Genomic DNA, 19,137 nt, shown 5'->3' with positions numbered 1-19,137 from the left:
GTCCTTAACACATGTGTGCCCAGCCCACATGCGCACATTGAGGAAATCGCTGGCTATCACTGGAAAGACTCAAGGCCAGTCCAAGAAGTATAGCTGGGCCTCAAGAATGTAAAAATTTGCATATCACCTCTACTGCTCTGTGTAGCTAGCTGCATTCTCCTCTCCATACTGCAGCAGTCTAATTGTGTATGATCTTCAGAGGCAGCCAGCGCATCTACAGAATGCACTGTCCTATCACAGTGCCCCTCCCTCCCTCACCTGCAGAGGAGGTGGTCTACCCGGGCTGTGAATAATGAACCTTGGAACCTTTATCCAAACTGTCATCATCACAAAAGAACCCCATGCACATTTTTCAGAGATTTTTATTGTTTCAGACTGAGTCATGCATACTAAAATTATTACATATTTTCACCACTTTGACTTAGAAAATGCACTAGAAAAATAAACTTTGGTCAAAACAAACACTGAAGTACATGAATCCACCATGTATCCCTATACTCAAAGCCAAACTGAATTTCAGTTTGAAGCAAGGAATGTGACCAGTGGCTGAAACAGTGCCCCAAGCTGGTCAGAGAATTAGCTCACCTCCCACTCCATCAGAGGCTCTTGGTCAGAGAGGTTTCAAGTATTTCACTTGTAACAGGTTCCTACCTGATATGCCAAGAAGCCGAGGCATAGCTACAAGAATCCACAGCAGCAGCATCTCACTGCCTCACTAAACCTGCTGCCCAGTGAGATGAAAAGAAAAACAGCCCCATGAAACAGGAATTTCATCACTATCATCTCCATCCACAAATCACATTGATCCTTCGCATGAAGCAAGCTCCTGTTGACTGTGATGTTTGTTACTAGCATTTTAAGCAAACCATTTCTCTAAGTCAGGAGAGCAGAAGAATGAATTTATTTATTTGACACAGAATATTGCTTTGTCACCCAGGCGGGAGTGCAGTGGCATAGTCTTGGCTTACTGCAACCGCTGCCTCCCAGGTTCAAGCGATTCTCCTGCCTCAGCCTCCCAAGTAGTTGGGATTACAGGCACGCACCACCACACCCAGCTAATTTTTGTACTTTTTAGTAGAGATGGGGTTTCACCATGTTGGCCAGGCTGGTCTCAAACTCCTGACCTCAAATGATCCGCCCCCCCTTCAGCCTCCCAAAGTTCTAGGATTACAGGGCATGAACTACTGCACCTGGCCAAGAGCAGAAGAATTTAGATTTACAAAATTAACAGATCCCAATACAGAGAGGTGTTACCAGAACTGACATCTTTCCTGAACAGTAGGCATGTTTCTGTTCGGTATAGCCACACCTCTCATGGCCACAGGAGATACAGTGTATAGTATATAGTATATAATTGGTTTAGCTAACATTTTACTCCCTAAATTAAAGGAGGCTTCAAAGGAAAACCTTAATTAAATGTTGGCAACTTTAAAATGGTAAAACTTTTTAAAAGTATTATAATCGCCACAGCAATACTCTAGCTTTTGCTACCCAAATGAAAAAAATTCCCAGGATTGATCTGAGGGTCAAATACTATTTAAAGAAATTGCCCACCCAGGGAGAATTCTGAAAGGCTCAATATAAAGGAATTCAGAGAAAAGCCTCTTATTGTCTTATTTCGGGAAAAATGGTGTTTTGTAACCTGATTTTTCAATTTTTATTTTTGAGATGGAGTTTCACTCGTCACCCAGGCTGGAGTGCAATGGCGCGATGTCGGCTCACTGCAACCTCCGCCACCTGGGTTTAAGTGATTCTCCTGCTTCAGCTTCCCAAGTAGCTGGGATTACAGGCACCCACCACCATGCCCAGCCAATTTTTTGTATTTTTAGTAGAGACGGGGTTTCACCATGTTGGCCAGGCTGGTCTCAAACTCCGGACTTCAGGTGATACACCCACCTCAGCCGCTCAAAGTGTTGGGATTACAGGTGTGAGCCACCGCTCCCGGCCTTGTAACCTGACTTACAGACCTCCTAAGATAAGTGACTCCTTGTGAAACCAGGATGAAATATGAAAGATCGAAAGCTACTTTTGCCTTAATTTTTGCAGCAGCAATAGAATAAAAAAGAAAATGCAAGGAAAAAAATTAAAAAATAAAGCGACCTTTGCCAAGAGCAAGTTAGAAATTCAAGACATGAAGCCAGGGTGGCACTTTTGGCTGTTTTTGTAGATTTCATCCAGTCTCTCCCCCATGAAGGCAGAACAGGGGAAGAGGCACAGTTTTCCAGAATTCCATGTTGGGATATGGGGGAAGAAGAGGAAGAAAATTCCCATATTCTGAAATGTATAGATTTGGAAGCTTTTAGGTACCAATTCATTCAGACCTAAATTTACTAAATAAGCCAATTGAGGGGGAAAAAAAAGGAAAAAAACTTCTAAAAAGAGAGAGTACAGTGTCTGTGGCAGTGAAGCCAACTAGATACCAGGAATAAAGTTTGGAGTATAGATCTCTATCATGGAATCACTCAGGGATGTTAAGCCAGCTCATCAAAGGCCACGTAGTAAGGTAAAGGTGGAGCCCGCGTCTCCTAATTTACTGTCCCATTTCCTTCCGACACCACACTATCTTGAATTTAGGGAAAAGTTAATTTCCAAGTGTTTGTGCAATGGGCCAGAACTTCTCCCTGAAGGAACATACTCCCAGTTCTTGAGGTTCATGGGTTTGCCTCACCAGTGCGCTCCCCAGTGCTGAGTAAGGCTCACTGTGCTCCCTGGCTGGTCATTCCCCACCCTGCTGAGACAGCCTGACACAAACATCCTGGTGAAGCCACAAGGAGACCACCTTGATTTTCACGCAGGGAGGTCTTGGTTTCACAGCTTGGTTCAAGTTTCCTGAGGTGTCAAAACTATCTGATACCTCTTCGGAGCCAAAACAAAGCAAGCAGCTCCCGGAGGCAGATAAACTTAGGCTCCAACTCCTTCTAGAAGCTGAGTGAAACCACTCCTTCCTTGTCCAACTGGAAAAACCTAAGAAATAGGCCTCTCCAGGTCCCTTCTGGTCTTTGAGATAATTCTCTAGGAGAGCTGTGGCCATGCCTGCATTAAAACAAATGCGACTGGCCAGGAATGCAGTGTAGAATTGAAACATCAGGGCTGAGTGATTCATTCCTCTTTACCCAGTTTTTGTTTTGTTTTGTTTATCTGTCTTCCCTCTTGGGGAAGCCTCCACCCAGTTCTCCCATCCAGGCCAGTGGGTTCTGAACCCCCTCCTTCCCTCCTTCAGCCATCCCACTTGCCCTGCTTGGGCCTTTTCAGCAGTGTGTGTCACATCATCATCAGATGGAACCAGAAGCAGCCAGGAGTGCTTTTTGGCACTTCCAGCTCAGCCAGTACCGTAGAGGATCCAGGGTTACTATCCATGGTGAAAAGAACTTTCTCTAGAATTGGTATTAATGAGGTTAAGTAACTTAATTTCCACCAACAACTTATCCAGACATTTAAAAAGGCAATAGAGATAAACAGCTTAGTAACAACAGATTGGCCTTCAAATTTCAGAGTATTGTTTTCTCCCTAACTGAGCTGTCTGCTTGACTGGTTAGTCTAATAAATGCACGGAGAAGGTGCACACACAACACAGTACTTTTCACTATTTAACACCATGATCATGTGGAATACATTAGAAAGGAAATAGGTCAAAAACCATCATGTGAACCGTCTAATTTGATGTTTGGGCTAAGGCTAAAATCTTCACAGGGAGGTTCTAAAGTGCTGAAATGCAGAACATTCAGGCTGACTGGTTCACCCACACCAGAGAGAGAAACTCAAGTGGGGCTGGGAGGGCAGGGGGGCCCAGAAGTGACCCAGGAATAACCTGCCCTTGTGTTCATTTCCAGAGACCAAAAAAAAAAAAATTTTTTTTTTTTTTTTTTTTTTTTGAGGCAGAGTCTTGCTCTGTCGCCCAGGCTGGAGTGCAGTGGTGCGATCTTGGCTCACTGCCACTTCTGCCTCCTGGGTTCACGTGATTCTTCTGCCTCAGCCTCCCGAGTAGCTGGGACTACAGGAGCCCGCCACCACGCCCAGCTAATTTTTGTATTTTTAGTAGAGATGGGGTTTCACCATCTTGGCCAGGCGGGTCTCGAACTCCTGACCTTGTGATCCGCACACCTTGGCCTCCCAAAGTGCTGGGATTACAGGCATGAACCACCACGCCCAGCTCAGAGACCAAAATTAAAGAATCTCAAGTAATTAACTACTGTAGCCAGGTTTACAATATAGTACCAGAGTCTCAGGGATGGAAGGAATTCATCATACAAGATCCTGGTCACCTTAACCTGGCCTCACAAAAGCCATCTTTTCAAAATTGAACCATCACTATAAAAAGAAAATTGGTGTCAGTGAGTCCCAGGAATACACATAATAGTTTCTTTAAAGGCAGGGCTAATTGGTGACACATCTCTCTTGGAAAGACACATGTACCACAAACAAAAACAGGATCCAACCACTTGTATCTAGATAGTTATCTTTCTAGGCAGAAAATCTAACATTCAGTAACTAAACCAAATCCCAGAGCCTCAGCAGCCAAAATGGCCCTAGCTGACATTTCATCCAGCCTCATTTTATAGAGGAGAAAGTAGAGGCCCATATCTTGTCCATAGTTGTACACCTGGGATCCAGGCCAGAATTCTTATAGCTACACGGGCCTGGGATCCAGCATTTTAGGTTGAGTAAAATCATTTCCTGCTAGGTCCCTGATTCTATTGAGAACCAGGGCTAAGGCTTTATGGATTTGGGAAAACTTAAGTTTCTATTGCAAACTTCAACCAGTGGGTCCCAGAGGTGCTTTGAAGTCTCCGGCTTCCACATTTGACCACAAAGTGCTGCTTATGTCCTGATGCTTACATGATTCAGTTAAGGTGCTTTCCAAACCCGGTGACAACAGCTGGGGCCTTCATCTCCAGTAAGTTTCCTGATGAGCAGCAGAGGTCTATACTTAGGGTTCCTGTGAAAAACACAAACTCCCAGTCTCACATTTGGTCACACTGAAGGTTTGGCCAAATTATTTCATACAAGTAGTTCTCACTGGCCAAACAGGTGGTTTTTCTCCTGGAAAAGTGGGATCAAAGTGACTTTGGTCCTGATTGTTCTTGCTTCCAAGATGTGTAAGAACCAGATCACCACCCCCCAACCAAAAAGCAAAACAAAATAGATATAGCCTCCAGATTAATAGTTGCAGACTGGGATTCCAAATGTTTAAGAATCAGTGGGGACATTTTCCATGTCTTCCATGGAGTAATTAAAGTAACCAAAGGCTTACCCCAAAATGGGCTCATGCTCATATCTCAGGCTGTTCCTCCATCCTGCAGTTTAATTACAAGGAGCAAGACTGAATCCATGGACCCTTAAATTCTCCTTGTGCCTCTCCAAAGAAAAGAAGGAAAAGAATTAAAGATGGTGACCCTGGGGGACGGGCTAGTAGCAGGAGTACAGCTGTGACTTCACAGCTCGCAAGGAGTCGTCACACTGTGCATCTGAGGTCAGGCCCTCGGGCAGCAGCGTCTGGCCCAGGATGCTGTCACAGGCAGGAACAGGTTGGCAGAACTCTTTCACAAAATCGTCTTCTGAAGCCAGCAGTACCGCGTTCCAGGTGGCAGTGTCCAGCTCCCCAGCCGTGCCCCCATACTCCTTGGGGAGGATGCTTCTTGGAAGGTTTGTGTGGAGAGAGTTCAAGTCAGACCCATGGAGGAAGAACTAAAAGGGAATGAAATGAAAACACACATGTCCTTAGGTTAATCAGGAATGCAGAAATCTCCTCCATGGTAGGTGCTCAAATAAATATCTGTTGAATGAAGAAAGGAAATGTTAATGGCAACTCTACCCTTACTTTTTCAGCCCAGAAAGCCTGGAGTATCCTTAATTCTCTTTTCCTTATACCATACATCCTGTTGGCTGGAGCTTCAGAATATATCCAGGATCCAGCCGCCTCACCACCACACTATTCAATTAATGGCAGCAGCCACATCGCTTCTCCCTGGATTCCTCCAGTGGCCTCCTATCTGGTCTCCCTGCTCCCACTCTTGTCCCTCTGCAATCTAAGTTCTTTTCAGTGAAACTCAGATCACAGTCGTGCCTCTATGTACAGCCTTCCAGCACTCCCACCTCAGACTCTGAGGCCCATCATAATCTAGCCTCATTACTTCTCTGAGTGCTCCTCTCACCACCTGCCCCTCCAGTCTTGACCCAGCTGCGCCAGCCTAGCTGCTCTCCCAGCATGCCGGACAGGCTCCCACGTCAGGGTTGTGTCCTTGCTGGCCTCCCAGATACCTAGATGGCTCACTCTCTCACTTCTTGTCTTTGCTCAAATGTCAGCTTCTCAAGGCTGCCATCTCTAACCACTCAGTTGAATACTGCAACCCTTCCCACCTCACACACGCTATACTTTTCTCTGCTTTATTTTTCTCTGTAGCACTTACCACATTCTAATACTAGATAATTCACTGTGGCTCCCTTTAGAATATAATTTTCCTAGGGGCAGGGGTTTTGGTCTGTTTTGTTCATCTAGAACATGCTTGTACATAGAGTTGATCAATAGATATTTCTGAATAAAGGAACCTATGAAGGAACAAACGAAGAACATTGTGGGCCCCAAATCAGCGCATTTCACAGATGTAAAAGACCTGTCCAAAGGCTGCTTTGGTGAAAGTTCCAAACAGAATCTTTAGGGACCCACATGGGTTCACATACAGTCAGGGAAGCCACTAAGTTAGTGGTTTGCAAATCTAGCTGTGCATCAGAATTTCCTAAGGGGATTTTAAAGCACAGATCCCTGAGCTGATGAATCAAAATCTTCAGGGAAAGAGCCTAGGAATCTGGAGCTGGATTTCAAGTTCCCTCCCTTACCTCCTTGAGATTTTCCATCTATATATGTTACTTTGAAAAAGCAAGGGCCCAGTGCGGTGGCTCACGCCTGTAATCCCAGCACTTTCGGAGGCCAAGGCGGGTGGATCACCTGAGGTCAGGAGTTTGAGACCAGCCTGGCCAACATGGTAAAAGCCTATCTCTACTAAAAATACAAAAATTAGCTGTGCGTGGTGGCACGTGCCTGTAATCCCAGCTACTGGGGAGGCTGAGGCAGGAGAACTGCTTGAACCCGGGAGGTAGGGGTTGCAGTGAGCTGAGATCGCACCACTGCACTCCAGCCTGGGTGACGGAGCGAGACTCCGTCTCAAAAAAAGAAAAAGCAAGTAAAATTCAGGGCCCAGTCTTTGCAGTGACCTTCCTAGGCCTAGGGAAGGAGAAAAATACCACCCATCCCATTTCAATCAGTGGGACTGGGAAAGGCTGAAGAGGGAATTGGCTCTTCTGGGTCAGAAAGGAAGACAAAGTGCTATTTATCCCTTCTTAAATAAGAGGTAAGCTAAAAACTCACATAGCTCGTAAACCTTGAATTGCTCCACAAACTGTACAGTGGGACAACATATTAGGCAAATGGAAAGGCTTAAGTAGCATTTTTAAACCCCACAGTTCTAATGACCATAACTTAAAAAAAATTTATTTTAGAGACAGTGTTCTGCTCTGTTACCCAGGCTGGAACACAGTGGCAAGACCATAGCCCATTGTTCAAGCCCATGGCAGCCTTGAATTCCTGAGCTCAAGCAGTCCTCCCACCTCAGCCTCCTGAGTAGTGGAGACTACAGACATGTGCCACCACACCCACCTAATTTTTTTTTTTTTTTGAGACAGTCTCACTGTTGCCCAAGCTGGAGTGCAGCGGCATGATCTTGGCTCACTGCAACCTCCGCCTCCCGGATTCAAGTGATTCTCCTCCCTCAGCCTCCCAAGTAGCTGCAATTACAGGCATGTGCCACCATGCCTGGCTAATTTTTTGTATTTTTAGTAGAGTCGGGGTTTCACCATGTTGGCCAGGCTGGTCTCGAACTCCTGACCTCAAGTGATCCATCCACCTCGGCCTCCCAAAGTGCTGGGATTACAGGCGTGAGCCACTGTGCCCCAGGCACACCCACCTAATTTAAAAAATTTTTTTAGAGATGAGTCTTGCTATACTGCCCAGGGAGGCTCTTATGATAAAAATCCTGGTTCTGCTCTCTCTACTGGCAAATATTAAATTCTTGTTCATTTACTCTTCCATCTTCTCCTCACAAAAGGGACTGTTCATTTATTTTATCTGTAACTCTGTACTTTTCCAAATTAGTTGTTCCAGGGCAAAAATAATAAACAAGTACCAGATGTCACAAATAAATCAACAGAGGAAAAGAAAAATCTGAAGTCAATAGGATCATCACTTACTCTGTTTGCTATTTTCTCCTTTAGAAATGGTTTTATGATGGCAAAAATGCCTTTAAATATTCGAGGTTCATTCACCACATGGACTGCTTTTATCCGAATGGGGAAACCATCCTGTGTGGGAAAGGCAAAGGGGTTTAGAACATCTGGAGAATCTTTCCACACCTTCCTCCCCCAAGTTAAATCTTCACTTTCAGCCCCAACATCAGTCTGATCTGATCCTTATGGCCTCCTCAATGACAGTCCACGTGGGGCCTAACTAGGAAGACGGACCTCAGGGAAAGTCTTTCCTGGGACCCAAAACTGGGTTAGAAGAGAGGCAAACAGAGGCTGGGTGTAGTGGCTCATGCCTGTAATCCCAGCAGTTTGGGAGGCCGAGGTGGGCGGATCACTTGAGGTCAGGAGTTCGAGACCAGCCTGGCCAACATGGTGAAATCCCATCTCCACTAAAAATACAAAAATTAGCTGGGCATGGTGGCACGTGTCTATAATCCCAGCTACTTGGAGAGGCTGAGGCTGGAGAACTGCTTGAACCCTGGAGGTGGAGGTTGCAGTGAGCCAAAATCGTGTCACTGTACTCCAGCCTGGATGACAGCCTGGACTCCATCTCAAAAAAAAAAGAAGAGAGGCAAACATATGAAGAGCTGCTGCTCTTACAGCAGAAAACAGTCTGAGTCTACAGGGACAGATCTGGCAAATACCAGACCTTCCAGATCAGTGTTGCCCAAAGTATATTTCTCAGGCTATTAGAGGTTATATAAAACAGGGCTCCACAGCAGGCAAATGAGTTTGAGAAACGTAGTCCACTAAGCATAATCAAGTGAGTTTCCTTAACTGCATTCCTGTTCAGAGCCTTTAACATGTAAATTCTTACAGTGAAATTCACAAGAAAGGGACATGCTATACAGCATTTCCCAAACTTACTTAATTTTTTCTCCTCTCCAGATGATCTTACGGTACTAACACTGATCCACACTCTTGATCCTGACACTTGAATCTACAAGGTATTCAGGAGGAGGCATCAAAAGGAGTGCCAGCGAAGGAAAGCCAGGGTTGGCTCAAAGCCAGAATCCAAATGTTTGATAATGTCCAAATGTGCACTGATTTATTTAAATAATAAACCTGGTGCACCACAGGGGCTGAAACATTTGTGGAATCAGTGAGAAGAGCTACTATACCACCGGTGCCCCATAGTTTACAAGGGAAAACACCCCACGTGGTGGGTCAGAATGAACAAGTAATCAAAACCTGTCACAGCTGTGACAGGCTATATTTTCTCTAGGTCTCCATCTTCCCATCTATCAAAAAGGAAAAATAGTTTTTGCCTTGCCTATCTCAGAGGATTCGCTGAGGGACTGAATAGGCCCTGATGACTGTAAAAGCACTGTGCAAGCTGTTAAACACGGTGCAGATATGGAGGGAGCACCACAGTCCCCAGTGACTCATGTTCTGAAACACAGAACATGAGGTGTGAAGCATCTGACCAAAATACAGCCCAACAGAACACCATATCCCTCAGGTCCACAGAGGGCAGGAGGGGCTCCAGCACCTTACGCAGAAGCATAATTTCTTAGGTTTTTTGTTTGTTTGTTTTCTGAGACAGAGTTTTGCTGTTCTCACCCAGGCTGGAGTGCAATGGCGCGATCTCAGCTCACTGCAACCTCCGCCTCCTGGGTTCAAATGATTCTCCTGCCTCAGCCTCCCAAGTAGCTGGGATTACAGGTGCCTGCCACCATGCCCAGCTAATTTTCGTATTTTTGGTAGAGATGGGGTTTTACCATGTTGGCCAGGCTGGTCTCAAACTCCTGACCTCAAGTGATCCACCTGCCTCGGCCTCCCAAAGAATTGGATTACAGGCGTGAGCCACCGCGCCCAGCCAGTTTTGTTTGTTATGAGAATTCTTCCTCTGCCTTCCAGACCAAGAAAAGGCAACAAGCAAATTCTCTAGTTTTTTGGACTCTTGTCTTACTGAAGTACCTACTCCAGAGAGTACTTGAGAGACTGATGAGAACAAGTGGTAAATAGGACTTTTAAATTTCTTCCCATAATGCTTTTGTGTTTTTCAGATTGCAGGTGTGGGATGTGCAGTTTGTGTATCATGTGAGACCCACAGTAAATGGACAGGCCCTGGGGAAAGCCAGAGCCACCACGAAACAGGCAGGACACATACGGGTCTTACCTGGAGGATGCCAATCACCTTTTTGGCTATAAAAGGGCCAAAGTGAGATGCTTTTGATAAACTCACTCCTTTGTAGTCTGCAAGAATTACAATTCCATTCACCTGGGTTTCTTCAGACTGAATGAGTTTTTCTAAGGTCAAGTATATGGCTCGGATGTTTTCAGTAATTGGATAGTTGCTTGGTATCCATCTGTCTAAGGTCATAAGAGATTGACAGTATGTTACAGAAGTTAATATAAATAAGTGGTCAAACAAAGATTTATCTCCTTTCTATCACTGTTGTTTCAAAATGGAAAAGAAAGATATTCTAGTAGCCATGACTCTTATTTAGGTTAGTAAATGGAACAATAAGCAGCAGCTGGTTTCTTAACTCCAAACAGCAGCACATTTTGTGATGGAAATACAATTGAGTGTTGAGGTTAAGAGCATGAGCTCTGGCTGGGCACAGTGGCTCATGCCTGTAATCCCAGTACTTTGGAAGGCCGAGGTGGGAGGAATTAAGCATAAGCCCAGGAATTCAAGACCAGCCCAGGCAACATGGCGAAACCCCATGTCTACAAAATATACAAACACTAGCCAGGTATGGTGGGGTGTGGCTGTAGTCTCACTACTTGGGAGACTGAGGTGGGAGGATCTCTTGAGCTCAGGAGGTTGAGGCTGCAGTGATCATGCCACTGTACTCCAGCCTGGGTGACAGGGTGAGACCCTGTCTCAAAAATATAAAAAAAAGTATGCACTCTGAAGTCAGACACACCTGAGGTTTGAATGTTACTAGCTATGTGACCTTGGGCAAGTTACTATAATACCTCACTCTGAGCCCCGATGTCCTCATAAGTAGAATAGGGTGATAATGCCTACCTTCATGGACATCTGTGCTTTCTGCCATCATGTATTTCCCCTTATCTTCATAGCACTAACCTGATTTTCCTTAGGGAACCACCTCCTCCCACTCTAGCCATGCAGTTTGGATAGAACTGACTTGACTCCTGACTTCAGAGGTGAGCAAGTGACTGGGGATTGATTGGCCAATCTGACAGCACATCCTTCTGGCCACAGTGTGTGATCCAAGCCAGGTCAAGCAGAGTCAAGGAGACTCAATTCTAGGACCCCTGGCCCTTTGGAAAGAGTTCTGTCTTCCCTCTTGTAGTTTTGAGGCGGTGAGTCTGAGATTCACGGGCCCCATGAGGCAAGAGAGCTGGCCTGGGAGTGAAGCCCCTGTTGAGGACAGCAGTGGTGGGGACAGCTTTCCAGTGCCAGAGTTTGGGCCCCTGAATGGAAATACGGCTAGACCTCAGTTATCTGAGCAACTGAGGTTTTTTTGTTTGTTTCAGCTAACGTGAGTTGGCTGTCACTTGCCACACAGACTGAGTTTTGGCCAGATGTGGTGGCTCACGCCTGGAATCCCAACACTTTGGGAGGCCAAGGTGGGTGGATCATTGGAGGTCAGGAGTTCAAGACCAGCCTGGCCAACATGGTGAAACCCTGTCTTTACTGAAAATACAAAAATTAGCTGGGCATGGTGGTGCACACCTGTAGTCTCAGCTACTTGGGAGGCTGAGGCAGGAGAATCACTTGAACCCAGGAGGCAGAGGTTACAGTGAGCCGAGATCGCGCCACTGCACTCCAACATGGGCAACAGAGCGAGACTCTGTCTCAAAAAAAAAGCTGAGTCTTGACTCATACACGACCTTGACGGAGGTATTGTAAGGATGGAACATAGTGCTATGTTCCCCTCCTCTTTCCAAGGTGGATACTTTTTTAATACACCCCATGTATTTAATGATTCTTTCCTCTCTTTGGGAAAAAAAAAATGAGAATGCCCACTTTTTACTGTTAACCACTGTTCTCAAGAAAATCCCAGCAAAATCTATGTGCCTCTTTCTTAAAAGATAAAACTTCCCATTTGCCAACAATGGGATATGTGATGTGTGCAAAAAACTTTTTTTTTTTTTTTTTTTGAGACAGAGTCTTGCCCTGTCACCCAGGCTGGAGTGCAGTGGCGTGATCTCGGCTCATTGCAACCTCTGCCTCCCGGGTTCAAGCGATTCTCCTGCCTCAGCCTCCGGGGTAGTTGGGATTACAGGCATGTGCCACCACGCCCAGCTAATTTTTGTATTTTCAGTAGAGACAGGGGGTGGGGGTTGGGGGGAGGCGGGGGCCGTTTACTGTGTTGGCTAGGCTGGTCTGGAACTCCTGACCTCATGATCCACCTGCCTTAGCCTCTCAAAGTGCTGGGATTACAGGCATGAGCCACCACACCTGACCTGATATGTGCAAAATTCTCGTGAAAGATCTTTGTCCCCAAATTGTGCCAGCTTGCTGTCTAACGTTGCTGCCAATTAACCCTGCCTCTATGTAACTGGATATCATCCCTTTCAATCACATGTCTCAAAAGAGCTTTAACAAAGGCAAAGCTGATACCCAATTGAGAAGAAACCTTTCTGTGTATGCCTCTTCCTAAAACGCTGGGTCAGTGGAAAGGGGTCCAGATCTGCTCCAGACATATGGGGAAAAAATTCATCTCACAAGCAAAGGGTTGAAACTACACAAGCAAAGGTGCAATCAGTGTTGTAATATCTGACTGTGTTGTAATATTCTTATGAGTTGAGTACAGAGGAGCAGCAGAAAAACCTGCTGACTGGTTTCTAAGTCTCCTGGCGCCCTAAAATCTGCACTGCATTGCTTATTTTAAAATAAACACCACTAATTTTGGCAAGTACCTAAAATGGCAGGTAAGCCATTAACAGTGGTCTTGGTACATACATAGTAAAGTCTGAAGAGAATGGTTTAGCCTCCAAAGAGAGTTTGGGGAATGAGTAAAGGCGGAGGAAAGTGCATGGAGGTGTCCACTCCCCATCAAACTTCCCTTCAAGAGGGCGTTTATATGAATGAGCGAAAGAGGGCTATTAGTGTGTTCTCATTCCCTGGCTTACTTGGGGAGAACATTGCATCTTACTTTCCATTTTTCTCTCAGCTCTGGTCTGATGGAAAATGTTGAGGCTAGGAATGGAGTAGAACATTCCAAAGTTTAATAACGCTTTTGGTGTCATGGAAGAGAACAGGCCTAAGAATCAGAAATCTTGAGTTCTGGCAGCCCCTGGTCATTGTGTTGAAATGCTCCCCAAAGAGCATTTTTTTTTAAATTTTTTGTAGAGACAAGGTCTCACTATGTTGCCCAGGCTGGTCTCAAACTCCTGGCCTCAAGCAATCCTTCTCCCTCACCCTCCCAAAGTGCGGGGATTACAGGTATGAGCTGCTGCGCCTGGCAGGGGAGTATTTCTAAATGCTCTTTTAGTGGCAGGGAGCCCCCATTCGTAAACCACCATGACAAAGAAATGTAAGGTATCCTAATCACTGCCATGAAATGCTAAGATCAAAAAACAAATCCAAAGTGAATCCTGTCAGTGGCTTCACAAAATAGAGGAAAGGAAGGAAAGGTTGGAGGAGGCACAGAGGAGGCACCTTTCCAGGTGTCTGCCCAGTCCGCACCCTTGCACTGATACCTGTACCTCAACCTATTCACAAAGAGGGCTCAGAGAGGGCCCTGGCAGTCATGCTTGTATCCTATGGCCAGGGGCAGATTCTTAGGCCCCACCAGATGCTCCCCACTAGAAATTGGGAATCTGCATTGAGGAACTTAATTTGGTGGTCAGGCAAACCTGAGAGCTGAGAGGGTGCCAGATTTAACTACGTGCACAGGAGCGGGACAGCCATACACAGAAAAAGTGTGAAGAAGATATGCAAAAGGCAGAAATGTGTGGCTGAAGGATACACAGACCGTCAGGCAGAGACAGGGAGAACGGCTGTCTTGGCTCCTGGTGGCATTCTGGTTCTTGGTTCTAGGCCCTAGTAAAAGCTGCCACGCCTTCAGCTCTCTGGTTCTGGGAGGGACTCCTGTCTCCTTCGACTAAATCCTCCCTTTTTTCTGAAGTTGGTTTGAGTAGGTTTGTGTTATCTGCAATCAAAAGAGCCTTGACTATAACAAAGGAGGGGTAAAAAAGGGACTTGGAAAGGAGGACAGGGTGCTGAATGGACACACTGCAGAAGGACTGGACACACACACCCCACAACAGTCTAGGGAGATACCTGGGCGGATGCAGACGACATGGCAGCCCCTGGGGTCAGTGTGGGGCAGCACGGTGAGGAACCCGGAAGCAAGGACATCTTTTAAGGCTGATGGCTTCAAGTTATTGAAGACTTCGGGCCAGCTTCTTCTACAGCTGTGGTAGTTGACGAGGAGCTGCAGGGCCCGGTCGTAATCAAACTTGCGGGCTCGGAGGAAGCGCAGCAGGAAGGCATCGTCGAGGGATGTGCTCAGGTTGGGGTACTCCTTCCGCACCATGTCACGAAGGGCCTGCACATCTCGAAGTCTCCATTCCGGCTTTTCCTGCAGCTCTTCCCGGGCTTTGGTGACCAGGTCTTCTGTCAGTGAGCACACATAGCCCGGAGGCTCAGGTGGTGGTGGCAGCTCATTTTCAGAGAGTGAGGCCACAGAAGGGCTGGTTCTCAGAGAGTCACTTTCTTCGGACATTAGCTACCAAGGTCCCTGCCAACAGAGAAGCCCTAAGCAAAGTTAACAAGTGCTTATTTCAAATCCTAGGGCAGTACAGTGTAGGGGACAGGAACACTTCTGTAAAAACCGAGTAACCTCAGGGCAGTGTTTCTCAACTGGGGGCAATGAACTGGATCTAAACCATACACGCAAGTCTGACCCCAGGCCGGCTGCTGTTAGTCCCCAGGGAGGCAGGCAGCAGCTACAGCAGACTATACACTCCCTAATAAACACCAGGGCCTTCCTTATAAATGTATTAATAGGTGCTCGACCTTATTCATCATTAAATAAATGTGAATTAAAACAACTGTAATGTATATGCTGTAATCCCAGCACTTTGGGAGGTTGGGGCAGGCGGATCACCTGACCAGCCTGGCTAACATGGTGAAACCCCATCTCTACTAAAAATACAAAAATTAGGTAGGTGTGGTGAGTGCCTGTAATCTCAGCTACTTGGGAGACTAAGGCAGGATAATTGCTTGAACCCGGGACGTGGAGGTTGCAGTGAGCCGAGATGGCGCTGCTGCACTCCAGCCACAGCAAGACTCTCAAAAAAAAAAAAAAAAAAAAAAAAAAAAACAACTCAGATTCAGATTGGCAAAAATAAACGTACTCTAATATGCTTGCTGCTGCTGGGAGTATAAATTGACAGCCTCTTTGGAGGGCATTTGTCAATATCTTCAGAATGTAAACCTACATGCCCTTTGGGTCAGCAATTCCATTTCTAGGACATATACTTGTATATATATGCATAATATGCACATGGCCTTCACAAGTATTGATTATAATGATAAAAGATTGGAAACATCTTAACTGCCTATCAGGGGAGACTGGTTAAGTAATATTACCATATTAATGGGGTACTAGTCAGTCATGAAAAAGAATTAGGGGGCCGGGCGCGGTGGCTCACGCCTGTAATCCCAGCATTTTGGGAGGCCGAGGCAGGCGACTCATGAGGTCAGGCGATCGAGACCATCCTCGCTAACGCGGTGAAACCCCATCTCTACTAAAAATACAAAAAATTAGCCGGGCGTGGTGGCAGGTGCCTGTAGTCCCAGCTACTAGGGAGGCTGAGGCAGGAGAATGGCGTGAACCCGGGAGGCAGAGCTTGCAGTGAGCCGAGATCATGACTGCACTCCCACCTGGGTGACAGAGCAAGACTCCCTCTCAAAACAAACAAACAAAAAAAGCGAAAAGTAGGCAGATCTTTATGAATTGACATATTAAAAAAGCAAGTTGCAGAATAGTGTACAGAAAATCACGTTTTTAAACTATACACATACACTTGTGAATGCACACAAAACTTCTGGAAAGAGATATAAGAAACTTACCAATGGTTATCTCTTGGAACAGAACTGGACAAGTGAAGATTTAAGATGAGAAAGAGGATTTTTACTATACTGTTTGAATTTTTTACTACACACCCATGTAACTTATCGTGGCAGTCGGGAATATGTGCCGGTCAGATCTGCTGGGAAAACGTAATTGATAAAGGGCCCCAGTGGCTGTCCCTCTAGATCCACTATCCAGGGGAAGCCAGAACTTTCCACAGCCCTTCTGTGGCCTCACTGCTCCTAGCCAATGATTTAGTGAGACATAGGACTCCTCTAACAGGCAGCGTTTGCTTGAGGGCCTGGCCAAACCTTTGTTGGGACTGCCCTGCAGTCAGAGACTTGCTGCCCAAACCTCCTTCACAGGAGCTGATCTGCATCACTGCCAGTGGCTCTTCCTGACTTCTCCAGCTCCCTTCCCAGGTGCTGTCCTTCGCAAGGGTTGCCTCTACATTTCTAGCACGTCTAACCTCATCCTAGTGTCTGCTTCTTAGAGGACCTGAACTCATGCACTTTTTTGTTTAAGAGAGAGACAGGGTCTTGCTCTGTCACCCAGGCTGAAGTGCAGTGGCGCAATCATAGCTCTCTGCAACCTCGAACTCCTAAGTTCAAGCAATCCTCCTGCCTCAGCCTCCCAGGTAGCTGGGACTATAGGCACACACCACGCCTGGCTAATTTTTAAATTTTTTCTTGGGCTGTGTGTGGTGGCTTATGCCTGTAATCCCAACACTTTGGTAGGCTGAAGTGGATGGATCACCTGAGGTCAGGAGTTCGAGACCAGCCTGGCCAACATGGTGAAACCCTGTCTCTACTAAAAATACAAAAATTAGCCAGGCATGGTGGTGCGGGCCTGTAGTGCCAGCTACTTGGGAGGTTGAAGCAGGATAATCGCTTGAAACCAGGAAGCGGAGGTTGCAGTGAGCCGAGATCATGTCACTGCACTCCAGCTTGGGCGACAGGGCGAGACGCTATCTCAGATAAATAAATAAATAAATAAATAAATAGATAGATAGATAAATAAATAAAAATATATTTTAAAAGGACCAATCTGCTGTCTTGAGAATGGACTCTAAGGGAGTGAGGACTGAAGCAGACCATTTAGAGGCTATTGCAATAATCCAGCTGAGAGATGCTGGTGGCCTGGAGTAGGTAGCCTTCACTGACCCCCAGCCAGGTTAGGTGCCTCCCCCGCACTTCTCCCACCCTGTTGCAATTGTCTGTTGGCAATTTGTGAGCAACATCCAAGTTTGTCTTGTTCATCACCTGAAACCCAGCGCCTAACATGGTGTTAGACACATAATCTGCACTCCATAAATATTTGTTGAATGACTTTAGTCTGGTTGGCACAGGTATGCTAAGTGAGGAATGGAACAACTATGGCTTTGTTTCTATGGAAGTAACCAAGAGATGCCTGCAATCCCATCAAACATCAGTGTTCACAAGGTACAAGCCTCACCTCAAAGCCCCTCTCCAGCCTCATTTTCCATCGCACCCCACCTTGATGCACATTAAATGCCAGTCAAAACAAACTAATAACCCATCATCCTTGGAATAACTCGTGCACTTCTGATACACTCTGCCTGGAATTTCCTCTTCTAATTTGTTCCTAACTTGACAGCTCAGGCTCAGCTGCCATGTCACCACCTCAGTGAATCCTTCCCAAACTCCCTGAGGGTGATTCCCTCCAGTTTTCCACAGAACTGGGTTCCTATTTCTTTTTTAGAAATTACAGTCCAATGCTATGGGCATTTATCTAGAGTCAGTTTCACCACGCACTCATTTATCAAATAATTACCGATCACCTACCATATATGTCAGGCACTGTGCTCACAGGCACTGGGAACACAGACGCAAACAATACAATTCCTTGCCTAATAAAGCTTACATTATAGTGGAATGAAGAGAATGCATACTTGAGCATTTTACCATGTATCAAGCATTGCTAAGCCCTTTACCCATTTCCTCATTTAATCTTCACGTTATTTGGTGAGAGCGCTATTACTGTTGCCATTTTACAAAGGAGGACAAAAAGGACTGTCCCCTAGAATCTAAGTTCCACGAGGGCAGAGGGCTTGTCTGCCATGTCCACTGCCACCCCCAGTGCCGGGCACATGGCAGTGGTCTGTACACATCAGCGGAGGATATAGGTTAAGCGATTCGCCCAAGGGGGCACACCCGGTGAGGCAGAGCAAGGATGCGTCTAGCCCCACCCTGGGCTTCTAATCTGTACCCTCCACCTGGAGCTTCATGTTGACTCTCCAGGGACTCAGCAGTGCCGAGCGCTCAGCAGGACTCAGTCACAGGCTGGTGAATGAGCTGACAGGCGGACATATGAGTGAGATGCAGACACCATTGGTAACGGTGAAGCCAAAGATCTCCCCCACCTGGAGCCCATCCTTTCTGGAGCATCACTTTCCTTTCCACCCCTTCCTCTCAACAAGGAGAGGTCAGGAAGCCATCTCTCCTAGAGCCCCCGAGACCCCATATCCCGTGGACAACCTTCCGAGGCCCCCACTTCCGGCTGTCACCCCCTCCCCAGGTGTCCCCATTTCCTGGGGTCTCTCGCTCCTCTGGTCCCCACTTCCGGTTATCCTTCCCTCTCAGGGGTCCCTCTCCTCAGCTCCCAGGGCACACGGATGGGCTCGCGGGCACTCACCGGCCCGACTACGGGCGGAGCGCGGGTCAATCGGCGGCGGGAGCCTCGTCCGGCAGCGCACGCAGAACCGACCCGCACTCCCTGCCCGGCCTGCCCGGCCTCTCGCGCCGGAAGTGACGATCCAGGGCGTGGGAGGCGGGGCTCCGCCTAGGAGCGCGCATGTGCGACGCCTCCCCGCGGC

General features: G+C 46.7%; 1 protein-coding gene across 23 annotated transcripts, besides 2 other annotated features; it reads right to left on the bottom strand.

Moving 5' to 3' along the window:
• Nucleotides 1-344: 344 nt before the first annotated feature.
• TTPAL (alpha tocopherol transfer protein like) lies at nucleotides 345-19,074 on the bottom strand. 23 transcript variants are annotated; one of them, XM_047440482.1, is made up of 6 exons: nucleotides 17,757-19,074; nucleotides 16,301-16,324; nucleotides 14,504-14,963; nucleotides 10,418-10,611; nucleotides 8,242-8,352; nucleotides 345-5,685 (listed from the first exon to the last, which is right to left on the bottom strand). In XM_047440482.1, exons 3-6 carry the CDS (start codon nucleotides 14,946-14,948, stop codon nucleotides 5,407-5,409), a joined length of 1,029 nt encoding a protein of 342 aa, XP_047296438.1. In that variant the 5' UTR covers nucleotides 14,949-14,963; nucleotides 16,301-16,324; nucleotides 17,757-19,074; the 3' UTR covers nucleotides 345-5,406. The 23 variants fall into 23 exon arrangements, with proteins under 23 accessions (XP_047296438.1, XP_047296443.1, XP_011527346.1 ...); XM_047440487.1 differs by having other exon boundaries at nucleotides 10,520-10,611; XM_011529044.4 differs by having other exon boundaries at nucleotides 18,107-19,074.
• Nucleotides 4,844-4,953: an enhancer, noted in NCBI's record as "active region_17925". NCBI's record gives its function as "activates an Ori minimal core promoter by ATAC-STARR-seq in GM12878 lymphoblastoid cells {active_cell/tissue: GM12878}" and the evidence as "EXISTENCE:reporter gene assay evidence [ECO:0000049][PMID:35858748]".
• Nucleotides 18,969-19,098: a silencer, noted in NCBI's record as "silent region_12941". NCBI's record gives its function as "represses an Ori minimal core promoter by ATAC-STARR-seq in GM12878 lymphoblastoid cells {active_cell/tissue: GM12878}" and the evidence as "EXISTENCE:reporter gene assay evidence [ECO:0000049][PMID:35858748]".

The sequence above is a fragment of the Homo sapiens genome, chromosome 20 (assembly GCF_000001405.40).
Source record: "Homo sapiens chromosome 20, GRCh38.p14 Primary Assembly".
In the NCBI taxonomy this organism is placed as follows: Eukaryota; Metazoa; Chordata; class Mammalia; order Primates; family Hominidae; genus Homo; species Homo sapiens.
Note: the sequence above shows the minus strand (reverse complement) of the source record. Positions and strands in the feature narration are given on the sequence as shown.